Source organism: Homo sapiens, chromosome 3, assembly GCF_000001405.40.
Source record: "Homo sapiens chromosome 3, GRCh38.p14 Primary Assembly".
Classification (NCBI taxonomy): Eukaryota; Metazoa; Chordata; class Mammalia; order Primates; family Hominidae; genus Homo; species Homo sapiens.
In genome coordinates, this window is record NC_000003.12 from 194379454 (window position 1) to 194401357 (window position 21904).

Here is a 21904-nt window from a genome sequence, read left to right on the forward strand (position 1 = left end):
CTGACTGAAGGTTACACAGAAACACAGGGGTACGCGGGCTCAATCCAGCCTCCAGGACAGCCTGAGCCCAACCCGTAAGCTTGCCACATGTCTTTCCAAGGCTGTTTTTCAAAGAACCCTCTCATTCCTCCCTTTCAGAGAGGTTCAGAGAGTTTGAAAGCAGGCAGTTAACAGGTAGAGGTGGCAGGGGGACAGGGCTGGGTGCAGGAAGCAGAAGGGAAAAGTTCTCTTTGGCCTAAAGCAATTTATTCAAGTCGCATTTAATTGTATATTTTAATATGAGACTTCCAAATTTTATGCCACAATAAAGCAGACTAGCCTTTGAAATGATAAAACTAACAACCTCATAGTCCTCATGGCTGGAGCAGCTGCCAGCGCGTCACCGCGTGTAATTAAAGGTCGGCGGCTGTAAGAGCAATTGTGTTTTCCTTGATTAGTACATGAAGGAACAGCTCTGTTTTGAATGCCCTGCGTGACTGGAGGTTACACAGAAACACAGGGGCACGTGGACTCAATCCAGGGAGCCCCATTCCTCCACCTCATTGAGAAACTCACCTTCCTCATCACCTCCCCCATCCCAAATTCCTCTCAGGGAGCAATCCAAGAAGGAACAGAGAAATGCCATTAGGCCGATGAACAGGTTCAAGAAAGACATGGAAGGCTAGAAACCCAGAACATGGACCTTAGCAAGTCACTTCTGCCTTTGGGAATCAGTGTCCCATCCAGACAGTGGGGACGTCACATGAGATAACCACTTACGGCAGCCTATCAGTCTATGAAAGAAATTATATCTTTTTACCCCATTTAATCTGGTAAAGAAGGACAAGAAGGAGGCAGAAGGGAAAGAAGGAAGGAGAGAAGAGAGGACGTGAGGAAAGGAGACAGCCAGGCAATACTTGTTCCCAGTTCATGCTTGCATCCTCCTTGGCTCATTTCAGAGCCTCTTGCTGCACTGCCCGCCACACGCATGGCAATATAGTATTAATGTGCCCAGCCCAGACAGCCGTTCAACTAATGCTAATGAGCCTCCGTTCCACTGTCAGAGCCGCCACCTGAGTCCTTGGAATGACAGACCTTGTTCTCCCCAGCATGAGCCATTTCCTTCCTAGCAAATTAAGGAAAATGACGAGCTTGCTCCTCACAGCAGAGGACTCTGAAGACAGGAGCATCATGACTGTGCTTCTTAAAAGTGAGCAGGTGGAATGAACAAGTGGTTGGCAGTGTGGATGCAGACCTGATGACAGGTGATGAAGAGGTGCGAGGTGCTGTCCAGGCTGATGTGGACGATCCCCCAGACTTACTCTGCTCTGACCAGCCCATCCCATCCCTCCGTGGAGGCCTTTCCTCCTGTCTGGAACGGAGCTGTGGTCCTCAGGTCTGGGGACTGTCTGAATCAGCTTCCTGGTCATGTCAGAGTACAATGGATCCACCTATCCACTCGTTCATCTATTAGTGAATTTATTCTTACCCCTCCTGGCCGCAGAAAGGATTTGAGGCAATTTAAATAATAATAATAACAAGATAGCATAAATTAAAAGTAGGAAGCGGCCGGGCACAGTAGCTCACGCCTGTAATCCCAACACTTTGGGAGGCTCACCCAGGTGGATCACTTGAGGTCAGGAGTTCGAGACAACAGGCCTGACCAACGTGGTGAAACCCCATCTCTAATGAAAATACAAAAATTAGCTTGATATGGTGGCACGCACCTGTAGTCCCAGCTACTCTGGAGGCTGAGGGAGGAGAATTGCTTGAACCCGGGAGGTGGAAGTTGCAGTGAGCCAGAGATCATGCCACTGCACTCCAGCCTGGGCGACACAGCAAGACTCCGTCTCAAAAATACATAAATAAATACATACATAAATAAATAAATAAAGTAAGAAGCAAAGAAGGAAGAAAGACAAAAGTGAGAGACTAAAATCCTGCAGCCAGCGGCACACGTGATTTATGCACTTGTCTGTATGGATGCTGGGCAATACAAATATCCACTTATTATTTTTTTAAAGGGATAGACTTGGCTGGCATACAGTTTTGCCCGACTCTTCTCCCTGCCTGGAATGCAGAGGTGGGAGGAGCTGCAGCCGTGGGGACAAATGCCACAGGCCACAGATGGTAGACGACGCCGTGGAGGTGCTGCACCGCCCTGGAGGGTCTGCCTCTGCGGTCGCTCGCTCCTGGGGAGGCACATGAGCACAGCCATCCCCGACTGGGCTACGCCAGCCTCTGCAGAGAGTCTGTTCCTCGCAGCCAATCAGGATGCTGATCCAGAAGGCAACTGAAGCCATGGCCAGTGGGAAACTGCCCAGGCGAGCAGAGATTCAGAAGGAGGGCGGGGCAGAGGCTTCGGGGCTCTCAGCGTTTAAAGGCTGGGAGAAGAGGTTGAGCCTGCAGGAGAGACCAAGGTGAGACAGCCAGAGACGGAGGGATGGGGAGGGGAACTCACCAAAGTAGACCATGCCTTGGCCTCTAAGCTTCCCAGCAGGCAGTGCAGTGGGGAAAAGGAGATCCCAACCATTTGCATGGCCAGACGCAGGGGTGAGGGGCTGGAGAGGGGTGGGGTACCCTGGGCCCGGGCCAGACGCAGGGGTGAGGGGCTGGAGAAGGGTGGGGTACCCTGGGCCCGGGCCAGATGCAGGGGTGAGGGGCTGGAGAGGGGTGGGGTACCCTGGGCCCAGGCCAGATGCAGGGGTGAGGGGCTGGAGAGGGGTGGGGTACCCTGGGCCCGGGCCAGATGCAGGGGTGAGGGGCTGGAGAGGGGTGGGGTACCCTGGGCCCGGGCCAGATGCAGGGGTGAGGGGCTGGAGAGGGGTGGGGTAACCCTGGGCTGGGGCCAGATGCAGGGGTGAGGGGCTGGAAAGGAGTAGGGTACCCTGGGCCGGGGCCAGATGAGCAATTCTCCTCAGGGTCCTTGCACAGTGGACGCTTTGTCACTTGGTCCAAACGTCCCCGGCAACAGGCCTCCTAACAACAGAGCCGGGAGTGCCACGGGGTCGTCTCAGATTTTATCCACCACGTGACCCCAGCCCCTCATGTCCAGCTTGGTTGAGGACGTATTTGAGGCCATCGGGAGGAGTGGATGAACTGCGTGTCTCCTTCCAGGATCTCTCCCTGAATAGTATTTCGTCGCACCTGAGCTTTTAAACATCAGGTGGCCGTGAGTCCGACCCTGACCTTTTGGCCAAGCGTTGAGGTGCAGGGCTTCCCCTCTCCAGAAAACACAGACTCACCACACTGGAGTCGACCTCTTCTGATGAAATCACGCCGCCTAAGAAGAGAGAGCCTTTCAATGCCCAACAAAGGAAACACTTGGTTAATCTGAGCAAAATCAGGAATTCCTCAGGAAGAAAGGAAGAGGCAGATGGGTTTCCAGCTGGGTATTTAAGTGACTTCCTATAATGCAGTCTATAAACTGAGTCCAAAGGGCTAGGCTCTGTTGAGGAGGGGGATGCCCTCAGGAAGCTGTGTGGCCTGGTTTCCTGTGATGAGCCCCACTTCTCCCGCAGGCCCCTCCTCGGTAAGGGAGGTCCGGGGAGCAACCCAGGCAGGGGCATCTGTTGCTTCACTGGCTCTCACACCCAGTCCCTGAGCTGCCCAGATGGCTCTGGTCTCCCTGCTGCCACAGCCTCAGGGAAACCCAAGAGCCGAGTGGTCCAGGGGCCCCGGGGAAGCAGAGAAGGTCCTTGAGTTCACGGCGCCGTCGTAGGGGCACATGGATGTCCATGGCCTGGAAAGGAACCTTTTTGCTTTTTTTTTTTTTTTTTTTGCAGTTGAGGGAACTGACTTTAGAGAAAACTTGGCCGGGGTCAAGCTGTGAGGAGCAACTGGGGGGTCCTCATTCATCCTGTCTCCCCAGCTTTGTGAGCGCCACATTCTTGCCCGCACAGGGAAGGCGCATTATCTGGCACCTCCTCACGGAATCTCACTTTTCCTAGCACAACAATGGGAGGTCCCTGGGTTGTTGCAACCTTACTCTTGCCCCTGTGGATGGCTTGGATTAGGCGCTCTTGGAACAATCACAGTGAGAAAGTGCTTTGTGACTTGTAAAGCTCTGCGTGAGGAAGGCCCGCTGGGCACCCATAAGGCACTGCGAGGCAGGCTATCCCAGGACTTGGTCTCTCCCTGTAGCATTTAGGGTTACACATTAGGTCAACAGGTGCTATTGTACCTGAGGTCAGAGCTCCTCCAACAGAGCCGTGAGGACAACAGCCAAGGTGCATTTCTGCAAAATGTGGTGAGGGCAGTAGGGATGCTCACGGGGACAGGGATGCCGGGGCGGGCACTTGCACCCTCTTCCACCTGCTCTGGGAAAGGGCCCTTTCTGCAGCTGCTTGAGTGTTCGGAGGGAGATTAGCAGGACTAGCCATTAAGGTGCAGCCTGGGGGAGGGCAAAGGGACAGGTGACAAATGAGGTGTGTCTTTGAAAGGATGGAGGCAGACTGAACAGGGAAGGAAAGTGAGGAGTAGGGAGAGACTCAACTCTGGGCATCGGAGCATCAGAGTGGGAAGGGCCCTCTGGTCCAGTCCCTCATTTTAGATGGGGACACTAAGGCCCAAGACGGGAAAGGACTCCCTCAAAGTCACACAGCTGGTCAGTAGCAGAGGGATGATCTGAACCCCGCTTTCAAACATGGCAGGATTGGCAGAGGGATGATCTGAACCCCGCTTTCAAACATGACAGGATTTGCATCTCGAAATGCCCCCCACTTTTCCATCTTCCCTAATCCCGTATCTGAAGCCTGAATATGGCCAGTGTGATCTGTGAGGTCCCCCCTTCTCCACTGTGGAGGACCAGGTGACCTGACACAGCATTATCAACCTCTCAGAGGAGAGTCACCTCACAGGGCCCTCCAATGGGCCACCTCACAGGGAAGGAATGGACGCGGGAGAGTCAAGTTGCAATAAAGGAAGGGCAGGAAGGAGGGAGAGGTCAGAGGCCCGGAGGGGATGCCCTGGGCAGGGGGAGGTGTGGGTGTCCAGAGGAAGAGGAAGGAAGCGGTGGACCAGACACACACTTGGGACCCCTCAGGTGGGCAGGGACCAGCCCTCCTGTAAGGACTATTAGTGAAACTATAACCGAGCTTTTCCAAAGACAACTAACTGGGAAAATAAAACCCGAAGAAGCATCTGTGGGCCAGGGAGAGGCCCCTTCCCTGGAAGAGCAAGCCGCAAGGAGCCTGCTGTTAGGACGGCTGGTGTTACATGTTTGTTTGAGGACATGGACTGATCCCAGGGCATTAAGCACCCAAGCCAACTCAACGCCTGCAGATGGCTCTTCCTCCCAGTGCAGCTCAGCTCCGCAAGTCCAAGGCCAATGTCTCAAGTGACCACTGCCTGGGCAGCAGGTTACACCCACACCCACCCAGCGCAATCCAGGGCAGGGGTGGCCGACCGCAGACCGTGTGAGGTAGAAGGAGCATTTCCCAGCCTCATGCCTGTCTCCATCAAATGCTGGAAATCCTTCTGGCTGTGGTTGCTGGGTCTCGGCCTGAGCTCCTCCCCGGGTGGGAGCTCATGGCGCACATGGTGACCACTCCGGCCCTGGAGGGTGCTGACCAAGGTCTTCCTTGGACGCAGACAAAATCTAACCCCCTGTATTTCCTACCAATTTGTCCTCATTTTGTCCTTTGAAACCACATAGGACAAGTCTCCTCCCTCTTCCTTGTATCACCCCTTTAACTGGTTCAACCCTGTAACCAGCAACCCTGAATCCTCTCTTCTTCAGGCTGAACACCCCTGGCTCTTTTATCCAGTTTCCATGTGGCTGGGTTCCAGTTCTTCACCCCAGCACCTCTCTTTCTGCACTCTACCCTAGTTATTTTCTACTAAACTCTCTCTGCTTGCTTAATGGCGGCTCCCAGGATTGAACAGAACATTTGGGTTGAAGGCAGTATTTTATTTTATTTTATTTTATTTTTTATTTTTTAAGATGGAGTCTCACTCTGTCACTCAGTATGGAGTGCAGTGGCATGATCTTGGCTCACTGCAACCCCCACCTCCTGGGTTCAAGCAATTCTCCTGCCTCATCCTCCTGAGTAGCTGGCACCACATGCATGGGCCACCACACCTGGCTAATTTTTGTATTTTTAGTAGAGATAGGGTTTCGCCATGTTGGCCAGGCTGGTCTCAAACTCCTGACCTCAGGTGATCTGCCCGCCTCGGCCTCCCAAAGTGCTGGGATTAGAGGCATGAGCCACTGCGCCCCGCCAAGGCAGTGTTTTAAATCCTCCCTGCTCTAGGGACTTAAGAAGGTGGCTTCTCTACACACCCCTTCTCCTTCCTGTTAGCCCATGTCTTGACTCCCTGACCCAAGCTTCAAGGACCCAGACAGGAAAGCCACGCTTGCTCAGAGGCAAAAAATTATGAACACCTGTGGCTCATAAGAATTAAATATGTGTGACAAATCCTGATTTTCGAACACCTTTATAATAAGAAAGAAGAATATTGAGCTCTCTTAAGAGTAGTGGAGTCAAAAGGGGGATGTGCCCCAGTACCACAGCAGGTGTTGAAGGGACCCTGGGCCAGGTCCTTGTCTGGATGCCGGCTCATGCGTGACATGTTGGGCCAGTCAGGGGAGAGTTCACCCCGAGCACCTCCTACGTGCCCAGTTCTGTGCCAGCGCCATGGGAGAAAAACTAATTAATACATAGCTCTTACCCCAAGGAGCCCAGTTAGGAAATCAGCGCATAGAGAATTACAGTGAAATGTGCTAGAGGCTGGGATGCAGACACCAACATCGCGAAGGTTCACTTCCTATCGTGGCCGAAACGAGGGATCACAAACCCGAAACAGACGTCACCGGGCTAACGTCAAGCTGTCAGCAGGGCTGCATTCCTGCCGGAGGCTCCAGGGTGAACACCTTCCTTGCCTTTTCCAGCTTCTGGAATCTGCCCACACCCCTTAGCTCACAGGCCCCTTTTCTCACCTCACAGCCAGCAGCGTCCCGTCTTCAAATCTCTCTGACTCCCCCCTCCTGCCTCCTTCTGTCCCTTACGAGGACCTGAGGGATCATCTAGGATCAGCTTATGTCTCAAGATCCCTCACCTAATCACTCCTAACGAAGCCTCTTTTGCCATCTGAGGTAACATATTCACAGGTTCTCTGAGATTCGAAAGGGGACATTTTGGGCGGCCATTATTCTGCTCACCCAGGGAACAACTAACTCGGGCTGTGGGAAAGACCACATTTGAAAGGACCCTCTAAAGGCTCTGCAGGAGGTTTATGCAGAAAGAAAAAGGAAAAGGAGATTTATAAAGAAGAATACACTTGCCCAAAGCATCAAGACAAGAAAGCATGGCTCGTGTTTGTCCTTTTTTTGATTGTTTGCTTTTCTTTGTTTACTTTTCCACAAAGAGCCAGCATCTGCCTGATTGCCTCTAGCGCTGAGAGGCTCACGACTTTCCTAGAAACCCATCTTCTCTATTCAGTCCTGTTGACAGCTCTGAACGGACGATCTTCCTTAAATTGAGCCCTGATGTTTTCACAATCACCGGAAATGTTAGTAGACCTCACAATGCCCAGGAGTGACTTAGCTGGACCACGGTGAAGTACTGTGCAGTGGGAGGATCATGGTATGCAGGGGGTCTGGTATATCCAGGAGGTTCTCTGAGGCTCATCCTTGGAGAGATTGTGTTCTTCTTAAATGCACCTGGGCAGGTGGCCAGGTCAATGACTTAGCAGAGCAATACCATTCTCAAAGCTGGGTGCTCTGCGGAATTTCAGACGCCATCTCCTCTACTCCTTTGCTACAAATCAACTCAAAATAATTTGAACTGAGAATGAATTTGAACTTGAGCTTGAAGGGACAAAACCTTAGAAACCCTGACATTTTCCATTTCTCTTTTGATGTCATTGGGAACATAAACTGCTAGGGGCTTAGAGCTGAGGAGGAGGCGCAACCCTCTTGCCTTCGTCCTGAGAGCAAGCTGGGGTGCTGGCCAGCCTCAGGTAGGCCCTGCAGTGGAGGTCAGATGGAGGGTATGGGAGCTCTGGGCTGTGGGGCCTGTGAGGGAAGGCTTGCCTGGAAGGCCTCCTGCACCCCTGCTAGCTCTCTGCATCTCTGTTAGCCTCCTCATTCCTGGGTGTCCTTCATGCTGCGCAGGAGTGTTCTGGGTTCTGCTCCGGGGTGTAGCCAATGGGGCAGACCCCTGCCTTCCTGGTGTACCAGTGCCAGGAAAGCCTCTCCACTCAGGCGCACCTCCAGTTTACAATGCACTTTTACATCGATTGCCTTCTTTGGCCCTCAGAACACCCTGGTGTGAATGGGGAAACTGAGTCAGTGGCAGAGCTGAGACCAATTCTGCAGTTCCCAGCACACAAGGATGCCTCCTGTGGGCTCCGGATGGCTCCTGTTGTGTCCAGGCTGGGCCTGCAGTGACTGTCAGTCATGGCTTGCACCTGCATTTCTATCTCCTTTCTCTCACTTCCTTCTATCCCATCTGTTTCTCTCTCCACTCATTTTTCTCCCACATTCCTTTTTATTCCCACTGCTTTTCTCCATCTCATCATCCAAGACCTCCAAAAATAATGCTTAATTCTCAGGGAGCCCTCACTAGGCTTAGAGGACTAGAACCCCTGTAAGTTCGCAATGGTCTATGACCACGAAAGTGAGTGTCCTCCTGGCACTTGCATCCCCCTGGCCAGCAGGGCCTGGGTTGGCAGCTGATCCAGTCCATGCCAGGAGAAGCAGTGGGCAGTGAGGGCAGGGGTGAGTAGCTCTAGGCCAGATGGCAGGAGACGAGCTCATGTGACAGGTCTGCCAGCTCAGATGTGTCAGTGCCCCGTCGTGGACCTCAGTGTTGTCATCTGTAAAGTGAAATAATAATACCTACCTCCCACAGGGGTTGGAAGGTTAAGAAAACTGACTTCGTGATGCCAGGTATATATTAGGTGTTTAATAAAGGTTCATGGCCGGGTGTGGTGGCTCACACCTGTAATCTCAGCATTTTGGGAGGCCAAGGCGGGCAGATTTCTTGAGCCCAGGAGTTTGAGACCAGCCTGAGCAACATGGGGAGACCCCATCTCTACAAAAAATAAAAAAAAATAGCTGCATGTAGTGGTACATGCCTGTATTCCTAGCTACTCCGGAGGCTGAGGTGGGAGGAGTGCTTCAACCCAGGAGGTTGAGGCTGTAATGAGATGTGATCACACCACTGCATTCCAGCCTGGGAGGTACAGCCTTGTCTCAAAAAATAAAAACAGCTGGCTGTGGTGGCTCACGCCTATAATCCCAGCACTTGGTCGAGCCAGGCAGATCACCTGAAATCAGGAGTTTGAGACCAGCCTGGCCAACATAGCAAAACCCCGTCTCTACTAAAAATACGAAAATTAGCCAGGCGTAGTGGCACATACCTGTAATCCCAGCTACTCGGGAGGCTGAGGTATGAGAACCACCTGAACCCAAGAGGCGGAGGTTGCAGTGAGCCAAGATGGCACCACTCCACTCCAGCCTGGGCCACAGAGCAAGACCCTGTCTCATTAAATAAAATAAAACGAAATAATAAAAGTAAAAATTGGCCAGGCATGGTGGCTCACACCTGTAATCACAGCACTTTGGGAGGCCGAGGCGGGCAGATCACGAGGTCAAGAGATCGAGACCATCCTGGCCATCATGGTGAAACCCCATCTCTACTAAAAATACAAACATTAGTCAGGTGTGGTGGCAGGCACCTGTAGTCCCAGCTACTCCGGAGGCTGAGGCAGAAGAATGGCGTGAACCCGGGAGGTGGAGGTTGCAGTGAGTGGAGATCGCGCCACTACACTCCAGCCTGGCGACAGAGGGAGACTGTGTCTGAAAAAAATAAATAAATAAATAAAATCTAATAAAAACAAAGGTTTCATTGAGTGTGGCAGCAGCTGAAACACAGAGCCTCCCCTAACCCCCAGAGCCTGGACTTGGAAAGATCCATGCTGGGGTCATCAAAGCCAGGGAGCACCTGGAAGCATCGACAGGGAGGTGGAAGGCGGGCGGGCGTCAGGGGCAGATGTTGCTCATTGTCTTCTTCCTCTAGGCCTCAGCCTCCAGTACCCTGGACCCGCCCACTGAACTCAATGAATGTTTGTCTCTTTACGATGTTGATGGAATCATCCTGTAACATTCCAGGTGTCTAATGAGGGTGTGCACAGCTACTGGGCAGTGAGTCCTGGCATCGCCCTGCCTTTGGCACGCCCTGTAGCAATGGTGATTGTTTAAAAGCTGGGAAGCCCAGATTGACTTCTCCCAAAACAGACTCCATCACTTCCGATGTCACCAGAGATCCAAAGCCCAACTTTTGTGATGGTCTCAGAAAGTGAAGTCAATGACAACATGCAGTGGGGGAGAGGGAGGAGACAAAGTGAGGAGGAAACCAGGACAAGGAGGACCCAACTCTGCCCAAGAGAAGTCAAGGAAACTTCTAGAGCTGGAAACTCAGAGAACAGAAATAGTTGGACTTTCAGTTAAAAACAAACAAACTGATGAAACCCAGTTAGCTCTTCTCCCTCCAAAGACCTCACTTAGATGGCAGTAAAAGAAATTGAAATGGTATTAGCCCACAATGTCACAGGGAATGGGAGAGGATCAGCAATGGACTGGAGAGTTCAGCAAGTTTACAGAACAGAGCAGTTAAGGAGTAATAGATGAGGAAGAGAAAGCCACAGCCAGTGTGAGCAGAGAGATCCCGTCTACTCAATGGAACCCCAGAGAGGTGTGAAGATGGATTACACCGGTTATGATGTAGAAAAGGCATGATCTGTGGGAATAAAAGCTAGGGAGTTGTTTAAAAGCTATTATAGTATAAGGCACGGTTGTGTCTGTTCCCATCCTTAGGAAAACAAACAAACAAAAAGTTAATTAAAGAAATTGCAAGATCCTAGAGAAATAACCCTCTGCAAACATTCTGGCTTGTAGAAGTTCCCAGTGTAACACTCAGCTTGCTCCCCCATACCCTAGAATGAAGTTGATAACCTCTGCCAGTGTGCACAAAGATCCCAAAGTCAGTTATTTTTATTGCCTTACTTTAAAAATATGAACCAACAACCAAGGGTTTAAGAGAAGCAAGCAAGCAAACAACAACAACAACAAAATGAAATACCAGAGAAAAAAGATGTAGTTTAGAAAGGGGAACTTTGAAAACTCAAAAATCTTAAACTCTAGTATTCTTAAAAAAAAAAACAAACTGCATCCATAAGACAAGAATGAGTCTATTTTTAAAAATTAACAGTGATTGCAGAAGTTAAAAATACAATTGCAGAAATTAACATTTTTGCGTTAAGTGTTGGATGGAGTTGAGGAGTCTCTCAGAAGGTAGAAAAAGAAGGTAGAAAAAAGAGACTAAAAAGATGAAGAATAGAAAAAGCAAAAACAGATGAAAGGAGAGGACAAAGGAATTATCCAAAAAAGTATAACAGAATCTCACAAAAGTTAAAAGACATGAGTCTCCAGAGGACCCTGCAAATGCCCCTTTGTGTGAATGAAATAAAGAACAATGTATGGCAAACATCAAATCAAAATCAGAACAGAGGACATAGAGAAGATCCTAAGGATGGCTGCCAAGAAAAAGAGAGGTCCCCTGTTAACAATGACAACAAATTCCCACCAGCACCCTTGGTGCAAGATGATCATTTGAATTTAGAATTCTCTTCCCAGCTAAACTAGCCATCAAGTATGAGAGAATAAAGAATATAGAAATTTGCTGGCAAGGACTCAGGAAAGGGGATATCCTTTGGATCCCTTTTCCTAAGTAGTTGTAAAATGAGGGAGTAGAAAAGAAAGAAGACATGGAATTTGGGAAATTGTGGAAGCAACCAAGGAAAGCTGAAGATCAGTTCTAGGAAACAGCCGGATAGGCGGCCAGAGTGGTTTCTAGAAATGCTAGAAAAATGAAGGAAGTGCTAGAAAGGAAACGTAATGACAGTGGACTATTTGGCACTATAGTAAATAATATTTACAAAGAAAACATATGAAGTCTTTTTTATTCATTTTCAAGTTTTTCCACAGTCACCAAAATTTTAGCTATAAGAGAATACAAAAGTGATCAGTCTTGACTGAAACTGGGAGGTGGAAGAGATAGATGAGCATGGGACAAATAGGAATATAGATGTCAGTGCACAGAACAAGGCATTCATAGAGACCGTCTGCAGTTGCTGGAACAAGAAAAAGGTGAACTTTAAAGTTACAAATGTAATCACTGGAAGAACTACATATAGTGCCAGAACTTTTAAGTTAAATCACATGAAACTTGTTTTTTGTTGTTGTTGTTGTTTTTGAGACACAGTCTCGCTCTGTCGCCCAGGCTGGAGTGCAGTGGCGTGGTGTCGGCTCACTGCAACCTCCACCTCCTGGGTTCAAGCAATTCTCCTGCCCCAGCCTCCCGAGTAGCTGGGACTACAGGCGTGCACCACCATGCCCAGCTCATTTTTTTTATTTTTAGTAGAGACAGGGTTTCACTATGCTGGCCAGGCTGGTCTTGAACTTCTGAGTGATCCGCCTGCCTCGGCTTCCCAAGAAACTTGTTTTTTAGGTCAAAAATGGTTGAACATAAAAAATGTAATACAATTCAATCTAACATATGAGCAGAAATGTATAATATCAGTAAATTAAACTATTAAAAGTTTTTAAATCAAATCTTATTTTATTTTTTAATTTATTAAGAGATGGAGTCTCACTCTGTCACCCAGGTTGGTGTGCAGTGGCATGATCACGGCTCACTGCAGCCTCAACATCCCGAACTCAAACAATCCTCCTGCCTCAGCCTCCCAAGTAGCTGGGACTACAGGAGCGCACCACCATGCCCAGCTAACTTTGTATTTTTTGTAGAGCTGGGGATATGGCTATGTTGCGCAGGCTGGTCTCAAACTCCTGGGTTCAAGCAATCCACCCGCCTTGGCCTCCCAAAGTTCTGGGATTACAAGCGTGAGCCACTATGCCTGGCCTGGACTGGCATTTTAGACATCCTCAGGGAATATGAAGCTTCAGCAAAGCTCAGGTTATATTCTTACGAAAAGCATTAAATTATTTCTGTGTTTTATATAGCAGGTCCCTTCACCTTTTAGAGAGTAGTAAATCTAGCTTCTTTGTACAGACTTACAACTTATCTAAAGATTTCATCTTTTTACCTCATATTTGGGAGAAATTTCATGGATATATGTTGTCTGTTTTCCTATGCCTTCTAGCTCAAGCAACATATAGATCAATGTTAATTTTTTCTTTTTTAGATCTTATAAAAAAAAAAGCCAAAAACCCCACAATTCTTTGAAGAACGAAAGGGGGAAGCCAGCTGCCATGTCATGAGGACACTCAAGGGGTCCATATGGCAAGGACCCAAGGCTGCCTGCCGTGAGCCACCAGGGAACTGCCAACAGCGTGAGCGGGATATGTCGGAAGCAAATCCTCCAGCCGCAGTCATGATGATTAGAGCCCCAGCCAAGATTTTGATGGCAACCTCATGACAGACCCTGAGCCACAGCCACTCAACTAAACTACTCCCAAATTCTTGACCCTCAGAAACTGTGACGTAATGTATTTTATTGTTTTAAACCACCAAGATCTGGGGTACTGGTTATGCAACAATAAATACCGAATACACACATACAATAAAACCAGGCCACGAAGGTTTTCCAGGGGATTCTACAACACGTTCAAGGAAAAGATGATCCCAGTTTTTACGAACCATTCCAGAGAGAACGTCCCCACCCACTTTATGAGGCTGTATAACCTGATACCAAAACCAGTCAAGGATATTATTTTCAATGTATAAGCAAATCTCACTAATGAACAGATAGTAAAAGTTCTAAACAAAACAGCAAGCTGAATTCAGCAATATATTTTAAATACACATAGCATGGCTTGGTTTACTTCGGGAATGCAAGAATGAATTTACTTTTCCAAAATCTATAAATTTATTCACCATTTTAACACATTGAAGAAGAAAAATGATATGAGCATCTCAATAGTTAAGATAAAAATGGATAAAATCTAACTTTACTGATTATTTTAAAATATACTTAGCAAACTCAGACTAGAAACATCACATTTATTGATGAAACATTAGAGACCTACCCTTTGCAACCAAGATAGTTCTAAGGATGCTCACTGTTCTGCTCAACATTATAGTGGAGGTTTTAGCCAGTGCAGGAAGATATTTTAAAACAGAAAAATAAATCAATAATGGGTGTAAGGTTTTAATAGGAAGAAGCAAATTATCAGAATTATTACTAGACATAAGATAATTATGTAAAAATAAATTACATTCTTATATATTGGTAATAAAAATTAGAAAATACAACTTTTTTTATTTTTTTCTTTAGAAAATATAACTTTTTAAAAAGATGCCATCTACAATAGCAATGACAAATCAAAAAAGAGGAAGGATACCTAGGAATAAATCTAACAAAATCAGTGCAAGGTTTCTTTTTTTTATATACTTTAAGTTCTAGGGTACATGTGCACAACGTGCAGGTTTGTTACATATGAATACATGTGCCAGGTTGGTTGGCTGCACCCATTAACTCGTCATTTACATTAGGTATTTCTCCTAACACTATCCCTCTCCCAGCCCCCCACCCCCCGACAGTCCAGGCGTGTGACGTTCCCCGCCCTGTGTCCAAGTGTTCTCATTGTTCAATTCCCACCTATGAGTGAGAACATGCGGTGTTTGGTTTTCTGTTCTTATAGTGAAGGTTTTTATAAAAAAAATTCTAAAACATCACTGAAAGATTTAAAATGACGTAAATAAATGGGAAGATGAACCATGCTTACTGGCAAGAACACTAGGTATTGTAAAAAATACAGATTCTTCCCCAAATTAGTTTTAAATTTACTGCAATTTTTTTTTTTTTTTTTTGAGATGGAGTCTCGCTCTGTCGCCCAGGCTAGAGTGCAGTGGCACGATCTCGGCTCACTGCAACCTCCGCCTCCCGGGTTCAAGTGATTCTCCTGCCTCAGTGTCCCAAGTAGCTGGGATTACAGGCACCTGCCACCGCACCCAGCTAATTTTTGTATTTTTAGTAGAGACGGGGTTTTACCATCTTGGCCAGGCTGGTCTCAAACTCCTGACCTTGTGATCCACCCACCTCAGCCTCCCAAAGTGCTGAGATTACAGGCGTGAGCTGTAAGTTCTATTAAAATCCCAGCAGGGTTTTTCAATGGAGTTGACATGCTGACCCTGAAATATTCATAGAATTGCAAAGAACCAAGAATAGAAGAAAAACAAGGTGGAGAGATGACCCTATACCAAAAATTATTAAAGCTCCAATAATGGAGACCGTGAGTCTGGTATGGGACTAGACAAGTAGACCAATGGAGAACCCAGAAACCAACTCCCACAGCTGCAGAACCCAGAAACAAATGCCACGATCCAGCTCTCCTGCTCCACATCCACCTGGTGGTGTTGGAGGATCCATTGCTCTGGATTGTGAGCACAGAGTCTGGCCACCCAGGGCTGAGGCCATCCGCAGGGGAAGACAGACTGATGTGAATGTAACCTCCAGTCTGAGAAAGTTCGGACTTACCCTTATACACAGAGAAAAATACCAACTCAAAGCTCTTCTTTAGAAATCATGATGCCAATAATAATTGCTCATCCTTTAGTAATAATAGCTAACATTCATTAACATGTATTGCCTGCAGGCCGCTGGGCTAAGTCATTATATGCTTTATTGCCTTTAATTCTCACAAAAACTCTACGAAGCAGGTACTATGTTATCCTGTTTTAAGGTTCAGGAAACCAAGGCTTAGAGAATGTAAGCAGGTGTCTTACCCAAAGTCCCATGCAGTTAGTAAGTGGTAGAGCTGGGATTTGAACCCACAGTTGTCAACTCGCCAGCCCCTGTTTTAACCACTGCCTCTCATAAGCACAGACATTCAATTAAAGCAACAAAGGTTTTACGGCTTTCAGTTGGAAGAACAAATGAGACTGTGACAGCAGCTGAACTAGAATCAAGCTTATCATTATATTCATGAATACCAGTCACATGTTAACTGCTCCATAAATGCTTGTGAAATGAGGTGGCAGAGTTCCAGGAAATGCAAATCAATCCAGTTTCAAAATGACATGTTGCATGGATGTAAAGCAAGTGGAAACTCACAGGAGGCTCAGGAAACACGCTGGACCTACACTGGGCACCTGGAGGGAAGGCTCCGTGTTTTCTTCCTCTCTCAGCCTCACAGAAGTCGCTTATCCTGAAAATGCTCATGCATGAATGGAGTCCAGTGCTCTCCCAAGTAGCCCATAGGTCAGAGAGACATAAAGTGAGAAAAATGGAGCAAGGGAAAAAATGGCAAGAGCTCTACTTCTCAAATAAAATTCGATGAAGAGGGCCAGGTGTAGTGGCTTACGCCTGTAATCCCAGCACTTTGGGAGGCCAAGGCGGGCAGATCACTTGTGGCCAGGAGTTCAAGACCAGGAGTTTGAGATCAGCCAGGCCAATATGGCAAAGCCCCGTCTCTACTTTAAAAAGTACAAAAATTAGCCGGGTGTAGTGGCACACGCCTCTAATCCCAGCTACTCAGAACGCTGAGGCATGAGAATCACTTGAACCTGGGAGGCGGAGGCTGCAGTGAACTGAGACGGCCCACTGCACGCCAGCCTGGGCCACAGAGCTAGACTGTCCAAAAACAAAAACAAAAAATTAGATAGAGCAACAGCCTATCCTTTCCCTCCAGGAAAAGCCATCATCACTTGGATGGCATGTGTTCCTTTATCCACGCATTGATTTCACAAACATTTACCGGCTTACTCTGTGCAGGAGACAGGCCCCGGCCTGGAGCTGTCCCCTTACTCAGTAGACACTGAAGAGGCCCCTCTCTCCACCAGACGCCAAGCCAGGCACAGCGGAGCACGGATGGGTCCAACACAGTCCAGCGCCCCCGGCAGTGTCAGCGCACACCCGCGTGGGAGCTGGGGAAGGCAGGCAACCACAGTTTACAAACGTCAAGCTCAGTTTCCAGGAACGGGCGGGGGACACAGAGAGGAGGGGTTGCGGGCCTGTGAGAATGAAGAGCACAGAGCGGAGAGGGGGAGGAGGAGGGAAAGGAAGGCGTGGCAGTGAGAGAGAAGAGGAAGAAGAGAGGAGGAGTGGGGAGGGGAGGGAGAGCAAGACAGCAGCGGGTCTGGATTCCCCTCCGAGCCACATCTGGTCAGGTTCTAAGTAATTAGAAGATTTTCCCATTGGTTTACCCAAGGGCTCTCTCTCTGATTAATTTTCGAAAGAGTTGGCCAATTTTAATCATAGCAAACACGATGATCACGGTGATCATGGCCTGAACAGCTAAAAGCAGAAAATAAAACCCCCAGAACGGACTATGATCTTGACCTTTGCCCGTGGTCACCGGCTGGGCCCACACCCAGGGTTCTGAGCTGTTGGGAGCCAAGGCTGGGTGGACAGGGGCTTCCGAGGAGCTGTCCGCAGCGGGGCGGGGAGGCGGGCCCCGGGGGCCCGGGCACTCCGCGTCACCCCCCGGCAGGGCCCAGAGCGGCAGGCCGGCGTGCGCCCCAGGGCCTGCGCACCGTGGGGGCTCTTCCCCGCCCACGAGGCCTAGGTGCTGCCGCAGCCACCCCAGGAAGGGCCCCAGGCCACAGTCGCAGCGCCAGGAGTTGTGCCCCAACAGGACCTCCGTCAGCCGGGGCAGAGCCCCAAACACGTCGCCAGGCAGGGTCTCCAGCTGGTTGTGGTCGAGCTGGACGCTCTCCAGGCTGCTGAGATTGCGGAAGAGGGCACGGGGCAGGGCGCGCAGCCTGTTGCGGCGCAGGGACACCTGGCGCAGCTTGCCGAGGCCGCGCAGCAAGCCGTCGGGGAGGGCGGTCAGGCCGTTGGAGTGCAGGGCGAGCACCTGGAGCTCGCCAAGGCCCTGGAAGGCGCCCTGCGGAAGCGCGCTCAGCCGCGGGCTCAGAGTCACCCCTAAGTACCGCAGGCGGCTCAGGTTGCGGAAGGCGGCGGCGGGCAGGGTGCGCAGCTGGGTGCGGTTCAGCCACAGCTCCTGCAGGCCCCCCATCTCCCCGAAGAGCACCCCCGGGAGCTCTGCCAGCGGGTTCTCGAACAGAGTCAACAGAGTCAGATTGTGCGAATGAAGAAAGAGCGCAGAGGGGAGAAACGCAAGGTGGTTTCTCGAAAGCGTCAAAGAACTGAGGTTTGGGAGCCGGTCGAAGGCCCCGGGTGCGATGGAACGGATGTGATTTCGGTGGAACTGCAGCTCCGTCAGGGCGCCCAGGCTGTTCAACAGCCCCGAATCCAGAGACACAAGGCGGTTCGAGTGGAGCAGAAGTCTCTCGAGCTTAGCCTGTGCTCCAAGCAACCCCTTGGGCAGGTGGGTCAGGTTGTTTCCCGATAAATCCAACAACTTCAGGTTCTCCAGATTCGTGAAGAGACTGGCAGGAAGGAAATCGAGCTGATTCTGGTTCAGAGCGAGCTCCTGCAGGTTAACCAGTTTCTGAAACATGTTTTGGTCAATGCCCCTTAGCGCATTGTGGTCCAAAAACAACTGCTCCAGGAGCACCATCTTATCCAGCAGCGCACCTGGAAGATGCGTGATTTTGTTGCGCGACAGCCTCAGGGTTTTCAGTTTTATCAGGTCACTGAAGGTGCCGGGGGCAACGGCGGAAATGTGGCTGTCGGAGATCATGAGGCGCTGCAGGACGGTCATGCCGCTGAAGCTCTGGCTCTGCAGGACGCCGCGGCCCATTCCGAAGAGCAGGATGTGCGTGAGGTTGGTGGGCAGGCCTAGCGCGGAGATGCGCGCCACGTCGCCCCCCGAGCACTGCGCGGCGTCCCGGAAGACACACTTGCAAGCTGGCGGACAGGGGAAGGGCTGGGCGCGCAGAAGCCCGAGCACCGCGCACAGTAGAGTCCCCCTCAGCATGTCTGAAAAAGCAACCGTGGGAGTGTGGTCAACACACAGGAGCGTTCGCGCCTGTACTGAACCCTGGGATCCTGCACTTTGTGCAGAGGCACAATCCTTTCGCCAGAATTCTCACTCCCTCTTTTCTTAGGACTACAGATTTCCCTACGTGGTGAAAAGACACTCATTCTACACTGCGTGGCCTCATGCTTTTGCTTTATTGATTTTCCACTCTCAGTTTAAAGCATTGAGATTACAGAGTTTTCAAGCTACCGAATAGCCAATACTTTAAAGTCCTTACATAGAGAATTAAAATAATCATTCTCACATTCAAGCTCACAGACATCACAAAGCAATGTCCATTGTGAAAACGGCTCTGCTCTTGACTTTATAACTTACCCTGCATTGGCTATAACCAACAGTCAAGAAGGGAACAGCAAAGTCTGCAGCCACCACCATCTGATTCTTTTGCTCACAATCATGCTATTTCCACAGTACCAAGTTACTCTATTAAAGGACACCCCCAAAACAGCGAACACCTTCAATCAACAGCCAACAAAAGCATATAATAATACCTATCACTTTACGCCATGCATTGTTCTCAGCTCTTTATTTATACTACATGCATTTAATCCTTACAATAACCTTAGGAGGTAAGTATATTATCCCCGATTCAAGGATGAAGGCACAGAGGCACAGAAAGGCTCAACAGTATAACTAGGGTCACATAGAATTTGAGGGTAGTATTTCTGACTTAGCCATAAAGAGCTACTATTTCTAAGATGCTTAACTAAAGGTAATACTCACGGCACTGAATTTTCTGGGAAATGCACACCATACTACTAACCTGCCAAAACAATGTTTCCTAAGCGAAATTTTACATAAATTGCTTCTCGTGCAATTTTACTTCTCATGCACACACAGACTAAAGAGCCCTCTAATTTCCTATACTAATGTTTAAAATATTTGGCCTTACCTGAAATGGTTCTGCACTCCAAAGTAACTGAAAGACTTAGAGCTCTGCATGTGATTCGACACTTTCCACAGGAAGAGGGTGGTATCCTTGCATCCTGAGGATAAAGACTTTACCAGAGTAGGTCAGGAAAGGACCCTATCTCAGAGCCCTTGTTCTGGTTTTTAATGACAAATATCTTCAAACCGAGAGACCATATATAACCTGATTCCTACTGTCAAAGCCAAGAGCAGTGGGGAGAGTTTTTCCATAAATGGCACAATATAACTCTATGATGCCAGGGAAGTTCAGTGATACAGCTGGATCACTGCAGTAGCCACACCCCTAGATGGGCCACACTTCCCCTGGGTCTTCCTTTTCATGCCACATGGCCCTAATTTCCCACCCAGGTTTTTTTTTTTTTTTTTTTTTTTTTTTTTTTTTTTTTTGGTATGTGTTGTTTTTCTTTCTCCGCTTAGCAATAAAGCTAAGAACATTCTCAAATCCTCCATTTTTTTCTTCCTTTTGGGACTAATAAGGCTAAGAACATCTTTGAACTTGTTCAACAATGGCATTGCTAGGTTGCAGGATGCTCACTTGTTGTTTTTTTGGTGGGGGAGGGGGACTCTGTCGCCCAGGCTGGGGTGCAGTGGTGCGATCTCGGCTCACTGCAACCTCCTGCTCCCTGGTTCAAGCAATTCTCCTGCCTCGGCCTCACAAGTAGCTGGGATTACAGGCACACACCATCACGCCCAGCTAATTTTTTGTATTTTAGTAGAGACGGGGTTTTACCGTGTTGCCCTGGCTGGTCTTGAACTCCTGAGCTCAGGCAATCCGCCCGCCTCGGCCTCCCAAACTGCTGGGATTACAGGCATGAGCCACCACGCCCGGCCGCTCACATGTTCAGTTTAACTGGGGAAAGTCAAACTGCTCTCCAAAGTGGTTGTGTTGGTCTACGATGACACCTGCCATTTGTGAGAGTTCCTGTGCTTCCTCTCTGCCCACACGTGGCACTTCCTGCTTTTTGCCATTTCTATGAAAGATATCTCAGCATGATTTTAACTTTTCCTTTCCCTGTTTAATGATGAACTTGAACACCTTTTCACATAATTAAGGCCCACTTGTGCTTCATTTGAGAAAGCTGGGTTTCCTTTTGCCCATTTGTCTATAGGCAAAACGTGTCTACGTGTCTTTTGAACACACTGATAATGCTGTCTGCATTAAGACTTCCGGCCAGCCGCCCTGTCCGGGAGGGAGGTGGGGGGGTCAGCCCCCCGCCCGGCCGGCCGCCCCATCCGGGAGGTGAGGGGCGCCTCTGCCCGGCCGCCCCTACTGGGAAGTGAGGACCCCTCTGCCCGGCCAGCCGCCCCATCCGGGAGGTGGGGGGCGCTTCTGCCCGGCCGCCCCTACTGGGAAGTGAGGAGCCCCTCTGCCCGGCCACGACCCCGTCTGGGAGGTGTGCCTAGCGGCTCATTGGGGATGGGCCATGATGACAATGGCAGTTTTGTGGAATAGAAAGGCGGGAAGGGTGGGGAAAAAATTGAGAAATCGGATGGTTGCCGGGTCTGTGTGGATAGAAGTAGACATGGGAGACTTTTCATTTTGTTCTGTACTAAGAAAAATTCTTCTGCCTTGGGATCCTGTTGATCTGTGACCTTATCCCCAACCCTGTGCTCTCTGAAACATGTGCTGTGTCCACTCAGGGTTAAATGGATTAAGGGCGGTGCAAGATGTGCTTTGTTAAACAGATGCTTGAAGGCAGCATGCTCGTTAAGAGTCATCACCACTCCCTAATCTCAAGTACCCAGGGACACAAACACTGCGGAAGGCCGCAGGGTCCTCTGCCTAGGAAAACCAGAGACCTTTGTTCACTTGTTTATCTGCTGACCTTCCCTCCACTGTTGTCCTATGACCCTGCCAAATCCCCCTCTGCGAGAAACACCCAAGAATGATCAATAAAAAAAAAAAAAAAAAAAAAAAAGACTTCTATCCTTCAAGACACCATAAAAAAGGGGAAAAGATAAACCACAAACTAAAGATATTTGTAACACCTATAGCTGACAAAGGCTTAATGTCAGAAGATATAAAGAATCATGGGATCCAATCCCCTTTGATGCAGCCTAATGCAGTCAGAGCCCAGTAAA

General features: G+C 49.2%; 1 protein-coding gene across 1 annotated transcript, besides 3 other annotated features; it reads right to left on the reverse strand.

The window, feature by feature from the left end:
• Positions 1 to 15367: 15367 nt before the first annotated feature.
• On the reverse strand, positions 15368 to 19813 carry GP5 (glycoprotein V platelet). The gene is made up of 2 exons (NM_004488.2): positions 19785 to 19813; positions 15368 to 18831 (listed from the first exon to the last, which is right to left on the reverse strand). The coding sequence occupies exon 2, from the start codon at positions 18827 to 18829 to the stop codon at positions 17147 to 17149; it is 1683 nt and encodes a 560-aa protein (NP_004479.1). The 5' UTR covers positions 18830 to 18831; positions 19785 to 19813; the 3' UTR covers positions 15368 to 17146.
• Positions 17714 to 17763: a silencer, noted in NCBI's record as "silent region_15021". NCBI's record gives its function as "represses an Ori minimal core promoter by ATAC-STARR-seq in GM12878 lymphoblastoid cells {active_cell/tissue: GM12878}" and the evidence as "EXISTENCE:reporter gene assay evidence [ECO:0000049][PMID:35858748]".
• Positions 20643 to 21196: an enhancer, noted in NCBI's record as "H3K27ac-H3K4me1 hESC enhancer chr3:194120825-194121378 (GRCh37/hg19 assembly coordinates)". NCBI's record gives its function as "activates a minimal SCP1, AML or CMV promoter by ChIP-STARR-seq in primed H9 embryonic stem cells {active_cell/tissue: H9 hESC(primed)}" and the evidence as "EXISTENCE:reporter gene assay evidence [ECO:0000049][PMID:30033119]".
• Positions 21197 to 21749: an enhancer, noted in NCBI's record as "NANOG-H3K27ac-H3K4me1 hESC enhancer chr3:194121379-194121931 (GRCh37/hg19 assembly coordinates)". NCBI's record gives its function as "activates a minimal SCP1, AML or CMV promoter by ChIP-STARR-seq in primed H9 embryonic stem cells {active_cell/tissue: H9 hESC(primed)}" and the evidence as "EXISTENCE:reporter gene assay evidence [ECO:0000049][PMID:30033119]".